Consider the following 12271-nt stretch of genomic DNA (forward strand, 5'->3'; position numbering starts at 1 on the left):
CTTTTAATTCCTGACAGAACTGGTTGTTGAAAAGATGCTGCCACCTCCCCACAACCTTGCTTCCACTCTCACTATGTGATCTCTGCACACCAGCTCCCCTTCTCCTTTTACCATGAATGGAAGCAGTGGGAAGCCCTTACCAGAAGCTGAGCAGATACTGGTGCCATGTTTCTTGTACAGCCTGCAGAACTATAAGCCAAATAAACTGTATTCAAAAAAATAAATTACTCAATCTCAGTTATTTCTTTATAGCAACAGACTAAGACAATCACTATAGATCTACAGATGTAATAAGAGAATTGGGTTGTGAATTTACAAGTTTCAAAGAATACACAAAAAATTACTGGGACTAATATTAATAAGAATTTGGCAAGATGGCAAGATACAATGTCAATATAAAAAATAAATTTTATACCGATGTATAGCAATAAATAATCACAAAATAAAGTTTAAAAGTACTACATACAACAGCCTAAAATACATCAGATACCCAGAAATAAATTTAGCAAAAAACTGTGCAAATTATCTATACTAAAAACTATGTAAAGGAGCTTTGAGAAATTAAGGAAGACCTAACCAATATTGCTGAACAAGTTTTTAAAACACCTTAAAAAATCAAGGTTTTATAGATTAGAAGACTCAAAAATGTTTAAATGTCTATATTTCTCTATTTCATCTAAAGAATCAATGCAATGTGAACAAGAACTCAATTGGGATATGTTGTAGAAATTGAAAAGCTCAGTCTAAAATTTGTTTAGAAGTACAAAGGACCTATAAGAGCCAATAAAATCTTTAACTAAAGAACAAGAAGAAGGTTTATTACTGCTCAATTTCAAAAATTACTATAAAGCTATAATAACTAACAGTATATGATATTGATAAAGATCAACAAGTATATCAATCAGAAAAGAGAGTGCAGAAATAGACCCAAACATACATGTTCACTTGATTTTTGACCAATGTGTTCTCTTTTAATTTAAAAGAGAATGTTGTTAGAGCAGCTGATATCTATATGTAAGAGTATGAACTTTAAACTCTAACTCACCAAAAGTAATTCACGTTATACATAAAATTAATATGATATTATCCAGAATCCTAAATGTGAAAGCTAAATTTTAAGCATCTTGAAGAAAAAACATACTGCAATATCTATGACTTTTGTCCAAAATTTCTTAAAACCAAGAAGACACTCTATTTTTTAAACAAAGATAAATTAGATTTTATCAAAATTAAAATTTTCTTCTGACCAAAACTAGTTTTAAGAAAGTAAAGAGTCATGTCACACACATGGAGAAAATAGTAGCAATACATAATCCTACATGGGGTTTATTTCCATAATATATGAAGAAACAATTTCAATTTAATGTTAAAAAGAACATCAACCCAATAAATCAAATACTTTACAAACAAACATAGGAATGACTCTTCATAATATGAAAGTTATTAGCTTTTAGGGTAACACAAATTAGAAGCACAGTAGAATAGTACTATATTCACCAGAAAAGCTATAATAAGCAGACTGACAGTATCAGATATTGGCAAGAATACAGAGCCTAGGGCACTTTTGTACATGGCTAGTGGGAGCACAAAATGCACAATCAATTTAGAAAACTATTTGGCAGTTTCAAAGAAAGTTAAATACTCATTACCCTGTGATCCAAAAATTCCACTTCTATATAATCAATAAAAACCCTAGGAGATAGGTCTTAACACTATAGTATAGAGTAAAATCAATGGGGGAAAACCTCTGAGATTTATATGATATAATAAAAAAGGAAAATAACATATGAATTGGAGTCACAAAGGAGAGTAGAAAAAGAATGGAAAAGAAGCAATATTGGCAGAGATAATGAAAGATAATTTTCCAAGTCTGATAAAAGTTATTCAAACACAAATTCAGTAAGTACTCTTAACCTATAATAGAATACATTGAAACATTTACCCCATGCACATCATTGTAAAATTGTTTCAAACAATCCAGTGAGAATAGTCTTACTTTTAAACAAACCAAAATGAAATAGACCGTTGACTTCTCAACAGGAGACAAATAGATGACATCCTCAGATTTCCAAAATAAAATAATTTCAACCTAGATCCTGTACCTAACCAAATATCTCTCCTAAAAAATGGCTTTTGAACAAATCTCAAGGGGATCGAATAGTTTGCAAATAACTACATGGTCTTCTAGAACAATGTTTAACATTCTTTAAAGAAATGCCAAAAAGCAAAGCACTAGTCAATGTAAAATTTACAATGTTTGGTATCTAATCAAACATTACTAATTATACAAGAAGCAATAAATTTTGGCTTACAATGTGGAAAATAATAGAAATAGGATCCAGAAATAAAAGAGAGAAAATAAAATTTGCAGACAATAACATTAAACATGTTTTCACAAATATGTGCAATATGCACAAAGATTAAAAGAAAAACATGAATATAATTAAAAATGGAAGATATAAAAAAACAGAATTTCTAGATATTAAAAAGTCCAATTATTCTCATCAATAACATTTTTAATGGATGAAAATAAAGCAGATTAGAGACACCAGATGAAAATAAAAGTGTACTTAAAAACATAGGAAAGTAAATTTTTCAAAATGAAGACACGACAAAGAGGACTGCAAAATAATTAAGTAGGGCCTTGGGAATCTATAGGAGCATAACAGGCAGTCTTATGTTTGTGACTGGAATCCCAGTACAAGAGGGATAGGAATACAGAAAAGCTACACATACAATGTAAAACGTTACAACAATATATTTCCTTTTGAAAAAAATGGCAAAAAAACTTTCCAAATTTGATAGAAACTGTAATGTAACAGATCTCAGAAGCTCAACAAACTCCAATCCAACTAGCTACAAGCACACATACACTCAGAGCCCACTTCATAACACTGCATACACAAGTGGCTGAACACTAACTACAGAGAGAAAATCTCAAAAGAAAAAAAAGACATAATATGTACAGACAAATTAAAAAAAACTTGAACAGATTTTTGCATCACAAAAAAGTCACTGTTTAACGGAATGCCATGTTTAAAGTGCTGAAAAGTCAAAAATATATACAAACCCTATGAAAATGTCCTTCGAGAAAGGTAAAGCAAAGACCTTTTTGGACAACAAAAAGCTGAAAGAATTCATCACAAGCATGTCTGTATTACAAGAAATGTTAAAGGGCATTCATGAGGAAAAAGAGAAATAATTCCAGTCAGAAACTTGGATATAACCCCAAAAAAGAAAAAGACCCAGAAACGGTAAATAAATGAGTAAATACATCAGCTATGTTAAAATTCCTTTAAAAAGTAACTTATAATGTAAAGCAAAAATCATTATAATGTGTTAGATGAATTAAAACATGAAAGAAAAATAAATGATAACAGTAGCACAAAGAATATCAGGGTAGCAAAATGAATATGGTATTGTAAGGTTCTTACATTGTAGTTTTAGAAGGTTATTTGAAGATAAACTGTGCTAAGTGCACATACATATTTTAAACACTACGCATATATTGAGATACCTAATAAGTCAACAAAGAGGATAAAATAAGACCCTAAAAATAATTTATTAAAATAAACCATGAAGGAAAGCAAAATGACATTTAAAAAGATACAATAAAGAAATTTTATAATAGATTTAAACTCAAAGGTATTAATTTTATATTTAATGTAAATGGTAAAAAAACACTAATTAAATGACAGATATTGGCAATGTGACTCAAACATAAAAACTAACCATATTCTATGTATAAGAAATAGGCTTTAAATATCAAGGCTCAGATAGGATAAAAGTAAATGGATGGAAGAATGAGTAACATGCACATACTAATCATAAGAAACTTGAAGTTACTATATTACTATCAAAGTAGATTACAGAGCAAGAATCATCATTTCAGGGATAAAAAGAGTTATTTCATCAGACAAAGGGTCAAGACATAAAATTGCTAAATGCCCATTTTAAAACTCAAAGAAAAAAAGAGCTTTAAAATACATGAGGCAAAAACCTGATTGAACTAAAAGGAGAAATAGACAAATCCACAATTATAGCTGAAGATTTCAACCCTCCTTTCTCAGTAATTGATAGAAGTAGTCCGAAAAATAATAGAGAAATAGAAGACTCTAGCACATTGATATTATTAAGACATGCCCAAAAAAACAAAATACACATTCTTTTCAGTTGTATGTGGAACATTCACCAAGGTAGGCCACAAGCTAAGATCTAAAATTAGTCTTAATTAATTTCAAAAAAATTTATTTTACAAGGGATATTTTCTGACCACTACAGAATTAAATTAGAAGTAAATTACAGAGATGTCTGAAAAAGCCACAAATAATTGGAAATTAAGCAAAACACCGCTATATAATCATGGTTCAAATAAAAAATCTCACATTTGAACTGAACAAAAATCAAAGCATAATGTATCAATATTTGTGTAACTTACAGTAAGTAGTTGAGAAAATGTCATATTGGCAAAATGACAATAGAACGATGTTACAGAAGACAGTCTAGTTATATAGACTATATATAGTTGCTTAATTTTTGAAAAAGTTGTCATGGTAATCCAATGAGAAAGAGCTAATACTTTTCTAGAAGTAGTATTACAACATCTGAGTATGCATATGAAAACAAATGAGCTTTATCTCATGGTATATACAACATTTAATTCTAAATGGATCAAAGGTCAAAATGTAAAAGCTTCTAAATATGAAAATTCTAAAACTTCCTAAAGAAAATACACGAGGGAAATTTCTGTGACTTTGGAGTAGACAAAAGATTTCTTAGGGCACAAAAGGCATGACACACGAAAGAAAAATACTGATAAATTGCACTTCATCAAAGTTAAAACATCTGGTCTTCAAAAGACTCTTTAGAAAATGTCCAGTTTACAATAATTTGTTAAGTTTTAATCTTATGTTTTATATACTCGTGTATATGTATTATATATCTAAAAACTAGAGTTTAATAATAAGTAATTTATATTTTACCTTCAATAGTTATTTAATATTCATCTGAAGTGAAAGTTATAAAAATATTGAGTGTTAATTCTGTATCTTTGACATGTTTATGTTTATATTATTACTAATCTGTCTGTTATTCTTGAAATTTTCCACTATTAAAATGTATATAAATATCATGTAGCAAGATAACAAATTCCATGGAATATTATTCATTAAGAAACATAGTATTTAAAGTTATGTTTATACTGTTATTACTAGCTGCATAAAAAAGATATTAAAAGATCTAATAATTAAAATGCTATCAGTATATTTTTTTCATGTTGGTACAAAACTGGGTATTTTTTTCCTTGAAAAGTTGTGTTAATTTTTTTCAACTGTAGTGCATGTTACTAGTATACATTACATTTGATATTATTCAGAAAAATAATCTAATGAACATCATAATTATGATATTTCTACTTTATTCAAGGTAGTTGTCCACCTTTAAGAGAAAGAGCCCTTTTGCATTTTAAAGATCGTTGTCTTAGTGTTCGGAAATCATGGCCTTTCTCTGAGGCCTAGACAGACAAGAAACTCCTGTTTGCATAGGAAGACTCAAGCTAAGGCATCACTCTCATCAGCAGATTTGTGTGATGATAACAGTTGATTAATTCTGTGTTTGCTGGTGGCACAGTGTGGGTGTCATTAAACTATTTTTATGCTTCATGCATATGGCTTTAAATCAACAATTAGTGATCCTCATATTTATATTTGAGTGGCAGGTTGTCATTTTTTTTAATACTATTCTCATATTCTTTTTTATTAAAGAAGTGTCAACTCATAAAATATAAAGGTGAATAAAATCTACCTAAAATTTTCATTAACATATTCGTGAAGGATTCCAGAGTTAAAGAAAACATCAGCTAAAAAGAAAGGCTATAATGAAACAAAAATAAGGATGCCCATACATTCAAATATGAATATATTAATTACTACAAAGCACAGTTTTTGGTTACAAAATGATACCTAAAAACTTGTCTAAGAGGAAAATTTCATCTAACATGATACAAGATTTTTCACATACCAGCTATTGAGCAGCCACCGTGGCAGGAGTTGTGCAGGGTATGTGGACATTCAGAAAGGGAAGAGACATGGGCCTTCCCTCAGAACACACCGACTGGTACACCTCCATTCTTTGTAGTCTGTGATGGGCTCCCACTGAAAATATCAAATGCAAGATCAAGTAGGTTGTGTCTCTTTTCCAAAATGAAATTAGACTCAGCCCAACTTAGCTTCAGGAGCACACTGATGTGAGCTGTGTTTAGTTTTCTGGACTCAAATGAAATCCAACTCAGCCCAGCTTAGCTTTGGGAGCACACTGATGTGAGCTGTGTTTAGCTTTCTGAGCTCATACAGACAGAACCCCAATGTCATGTGTCTTTGCTTGAAATCTGCAGGCTCTCTGAGCAACAACCAGGGCTGACACCTGTTACCAAAACCAGTTTATTGTATTCATTGAAAACTCCTGTAATCTTTGAGACAATGGGGCTCTCTAAAAAGAAGAAGAGTGGTAAAGGATGAAATCAGAGTCCTTTGCATTAAGCAATTAATTAAAAATAAACAAGGACATTGCCCTTCTGGGAAGATAGAGTAGACATACCTTTCCCTGTTCCTTCCACTAAATAACAAACAAAACAAACATAAAGAGGCCTCAGAAATATGAAGAGAGGAGGCAGACTGGCTAGGGTAGAGCCTTGGAACCCTTTAGCTCACAATATGATGGTGAGCTACCTGGGCATTTTTCCTTTCTTTCTTTCTTTCTTTCTTTCTTCTTCTTCTTGTTTTTTTTGTTTGTTTGTTTGTTTGTTTGTTTGTTTTTGTTGTTGTTGTTGTTTTACAGACAGAGTCTGGCTCTGTCACCCAGGCTGGAGTACAGTGGTAAGATCACAGTTCACTGCAGCCTCAACCTCCTGGGCTCAGGCAATTGTCCTGCCTCAGCTCCCTGAGTAGCTAGGATTACAGGCATGTGCCACCATGCCTGGCTAATATTTTTATTTTGGGGAAGTGCCGGGGTGTCACTATGTTGCACAGGCTGGTCTCAAACCCCTGAGTTCAAGGAATCCTTCTGTCTCAACCTACCAGGGTTCTGGGATTATAAGTGTGAGCCATCATGCTTGACCTGAGGTTTCCTTCTTGCCTTACATATTCCAGACTTGGAGCTAAAGAAGCCAGCAACCAGAATATGCCAACAGGTTCAATCTAATAAGTAAAAGAAAATGAAAAAAAAAAAAAAGAAAAAGAAAACAAAAAAGAAAAAGCCTGCCTTCTGCAGCTTGCAAGTGCAGTGTAACAAGAAAGAAAACTTTGAGGCAATAACCACTCTACTCCAACCAAATACTGTGGAAAAAATTGTGGCCCCACTCCACCTTCACCAGCAAAGTCCAAGTTGGGAGCCTAGACTTCTGCCCTCTGGAAATTGTAAAGAGGGGCCACTATCCCTCCTCCCTCACCACAGTGGTATCAGACAAAGATAGTGAGAGAGTACTTTCATGCCTAATGAGTGGTAATGAGCCACCAGTCCCCACTGACCTGTCATTGGTGACCACATGGGAAACCTAGACTTCAACCACCACCCCCAGCACTCACGAGGTGCCCCTTAACTTCTGGAATGGGGTTAAAGAAGGCCAAATGGAGAGCCAGGGCTTTTGCTATGATCCCGCTATAAGACAAAGCCATCCGTTACACCTCCACCATACCTCATCTCAGAAGGAGGCCAAGATAGGACCATTAGCAAGGCACCTGTAGCCAGGGATGTATCAATGGAGAACTAGAGGGAATCTGGCATTCCCACTCCCACACAGCTTCAATAAGGTTCCCCTTTGTGAGTGGCAACAGAAGAAAATGGGGAACCTAGACTTCTCTTCCCACCTGGTAGTAATAAGGTGCGACCCTTCATTTTTCAATGGAGCAGTTTTACAGGTAGTTGCCTAAAACAGGTTTAAATAAAACCCAGAGTCTTCTAACATGAGATCCCAATTTTCAGATTTCAAAAAACAAAAACAACAACAACAACACTCATCATATCATACCAATAACCAGCAAGCTCTCAAACTGGACTTAAAAGAAAACACAATCAGTAAATTCTAACACTGAGATAATACAAAACTGCTTCAATGAGCAATTACAAATACATAATTGAAATAATTTTAAAAGAGAGAGTCTCAGCAAAGAAATAGAAGCTATAAAGAGGAAACAAATGAAAATTTTATAAGTAAAAATGGATAAAATTAAAAGAAAAAATTTAAAAAATTATAATTAGAAATGAAGACTATTATTACCTTTCTCAAAAATCAATAGAACAACTAGTAGGAAATTGCTAACAATATAAAATAGCTCAATTCCACCAACCACCACCATCTAAATATCATTTGTAGATCACTACACCAACAATAGCAGGATACGCATTATTCTCAATTTCCCATATAACATGTACTAAGATAGACCACATCCTAAAACATCATAAAGGTCATAAAATAAACTTCAACAAATTTAAAATAATTGAAATTATGCAGAGTATAATCTCTAATGACAACAGAGTCAAACTAGAAATCAGCAACAACAACAAACAAAAACTGTGCAAACACTTGGAAACTAAACAGCATACTTTTTAATAATCCATGGGTTAATGCAGAAATATTAAGAGAAAACAAAAAAATACATAGAACTTAATGACAATTAAAATGCAAAATATCAAAAATTGTAGGACACAGCTAAAACAGTGCTGAGAGGGAAACTTAGAGTACTAAATGCATTCTTTCAAAAAGAGGAAGAGTCTCAAATTAATAATCTAAGCTCTCATGTCAAGAAGTTAGCATCAGAATAGAATAAAACCAAATCAAAAAGAAGAAAATAGTAAACATAGAAATAGAAATAACATAAATCAATAATAGAAAAACTAGAGAAAATCAAACAAGGGACTAGTTCATTTCAATAAATCAATATGTCCAACTGGTTTTCTAACAAAGGTGTTAAATCAATTCAATGGAAGAAATAAACCTTTTCAATAAGTTGGTGCTTGACCAATTTGGTATTCATAGGGGGAAAAATCAATCTTGAAGAAAATCTTACATATTACACCAAATTAATTCAAAATGTATTACAAACTTTAATGGAAAATGTAAAACTATCTACATTTTAGGAAAAACACAGCATAGGAGAAAATCCTTGGGATCTAGGAGGAGGCAAAAATTCAGTTTTGATACTGAAAGCGTCACCCACAAAAAAAAAAATTGATAATTTGGGCCTCAGAAACTTAGAAATAGTTTACCTGAAAAAGATCCATATTAGAGGATAAAAAGACAAACTAAAGACTGAAAGAGAATGTTATCAAATAGCGTATACAAAAAAATATCTGGAGCATGTAAAGAACTCTCAAATTAAAATAGTAAAAAAAGAAAGCCAGTTAGAAAATGGAAAAAAATTCATTACAGACATTCCATGAAAGATACAGAAATGACAAATAAGCACATGCAAAAATATTCACCATTATTAGCAATTAAGAAAATGCTCATTAAAACCACAATGAGTTATCACTCAATAGTTATCAGAATGGCTAACATAATAAATAACAACACCAAATGTTGGTGAGGATGTGAAAAATTGGGTCACTCATACATTGCTGGTGAGAATGAAAAACAGTACAGCCATTGTGAAAAACAGTTCAGCAGTCTCTTAAACTAAACATGCAACTACCATATGACCCAGCAATTGCACTCCTTGACATTTATTCCAGAGAAATGAAAACTTTGTTTATGCAAAAACTGTATGTTAATGTTTATAGCAATTGTATTCATAACAGCCCCCAAATGGAAAGAACCCAGATATCCTTCAGAGAGTGAATGAGTAAACTGGATAAATTTCCAGGGAATTATGCTCAGCTAAAAAAATCAAAACCACAAAAACAAATAAGAAAATTATATACAGTATGAGTCCACTTATATAGCATTATCAAAATGACAATATTATACTGTCATGGAGAACAGATGAGTTGTTGCCAGAGTTAACGAGGAGTGAAAGGTGAGCAGTAAGTGGCTGAGGCTATACAAGGGAAGCATAAGGTATCCTTGCAGTAACAGAAATATTTTGCATCTTGACTACCTATTTCAGTATCTTGATTATGATATTGTACAGTTTGTACATCCCTAATCTAAAAATTTGAAATCCAAAATGCTCCAACAAATTTGGAGCAACAAATGCTCCAAAAATATTCAAAACGTGTTCATTGCTGACAAGATATCACAAGTAGGAATTTCTGTACCTGACTTCATGTGACAGGTCACAGTCAAAATGCGGGTGCACAACATACCATTTATTCAGTGTCCCCAAGAAAAAATGCCCTTCCACCCCCACCTCAGCTGTGATATATATTTTCTGCACATACCCAGACTCCCCACCTCAGGCAGGGCCAGGGGGGTAATGAAATGACATGTGTGTAGGCCAGACACACCAATGGTATGTTCCTCACAATGCCCCACATGGGGCCAAGACCTATATCTAGTACTCACCATGTGTCGTTGCTTATTCTCTGCTCCGTGGTGTAAAAATTTTGTTGAAAGTGTCAAAAAGGCTCATAGATACCCCTGTAGCTACCAGTAATGAAGAAAAAGAAAGAATTTTTGTTTATCTAAAGCACAGAAAGTCAAACTGTTGGAGAAACTGGGCAGCGATGTAAGTGTGAAACATCTTACAGAAAAGTATGGTGTTGGAATGATCGTCATATATGACTTGAAGAAACAGAAGAATAAACTTAGACTTTCTGTGCTAAAAGTGATGACGAGCAGACACTGCACAAAGCTAAAAGTGAAGATTTTGATTGTGTATTGAAAGTGTGGATGCATTAGTGTTTCAGTAAACACATGCCTCTTAATGGTGGGTTGATCATGACATAAACTAAGATTGGCTGGGCGTGGTGGTGGCTCACGCCTGCAATCCCAGCACTTTGGGAGGCCAAGGCGGGCAGATCACTTGAGGTCAGGAGTTTGAGACCAGCCTGGCCAACATGGTGAAACCCTGTCTCTACTAAAAATACAAAAATTAGCCAGGCATGATGGCCTGCACCTGCAATCCCAGCTACTTGGGAGGCTGAGGCATGAGAATCGCTTGAACATGGAAGGCGGTGGTTGCAGTAAGCCAAGATGGTGCCACTACACTCCAGCCTGGGTGACAGTGTGAGACTGTATCTCAAAACAAAACAAAACAAACAAACAGACCAAAAACCCGAAGATCTATTATGATGAACTGAAAATTAAAGAGAACTGTGAACATTAAGCATGCTGATCACAAAAATTTAAGAAAAGACACAGCATTCTTTTTTTAATTTGTAGCGATAAACTATTTGTTGATCACGAAGCAGTGGCGAGTTTGCCAAGGTCATCGGCGAGTTTGCCAAGGTCATTGTTGATGAAAATGTGACACAAGAGTAAGTCTATAATATTGATGAAACAGTGTTCTTTTGGTATTATTGCCCCCAGAAAGCCACTGTCTCTAGCTGATGAGGCAGTCCCTACAAGAATTAAGGATGCCAATAACAGAATAACGGCTAGGCTGTGCTAATGCAGCAGGCAGTCACAAGTGTTATCTCTCTGTGTTAGCCAAAAATGTGCATCCTCACTGTTTTCAAGGAGTGCATTTCTTATCAGTTTATTACTATGCTAAGAAAAAGGCATGGATAACAAAGGATGTCTCTTCTGATTGGCTTCACAAACATTTTGTACCAAGTGACTTGTGTTCATTGCAGAGAAGCTGAACTAGATGATGAGTACAAGATTTTGTTATTCCTTGACAACTGTTCTGCTCATCATTCAGTGAAAATTCTCATCAAAAATAATGTTTATGCCATGTACTTTCCCTCAAATGTGGCTTTATTAATCTAGCTATGTGACCAGGCTATCTTTAGCTCAATGAAGAGTAAATGATTTAAAAAACCCACTTTCTTGAACAGCATGCTAGCAGCAGTGAACAGAGGCCTAGGCGTGGAAGACTTATAAAAGAAGTTTAGCATGAAGAATGCCATATATGCTGTTGCCAACGCTTGAAACACAGTGACTAGAGACACATACATTGTCTATAACCTCTGGCCTGTGACTATGATCAGTGATGTTGATGTACAAGATGGTGACTTTGAAGAATTTCATATGTCAATTGAGAAAAAATAATGCCTGACCTCCTTACATATGTAAAAAATACATGTTCAGAGTCCTTCAGTAAGTGGAAAAGAGTAGCTATTTCAGAGGTTTTTAACATTTACAATGACACTCTAGTGGTTCATTTATGGACCA

Source organism: Homo sapiens, chromosome 10 (assembly GCF_000001405.40).
Source record: "Homo sapiens chromosome 10, GRCh38.p14 Primary Assembly".
Taxonomy (NCBI): Eukaryota; Metazoa; Chordata; class Mammalia; order Primates; family Hominidae; genus Homo; species Homo sapiens.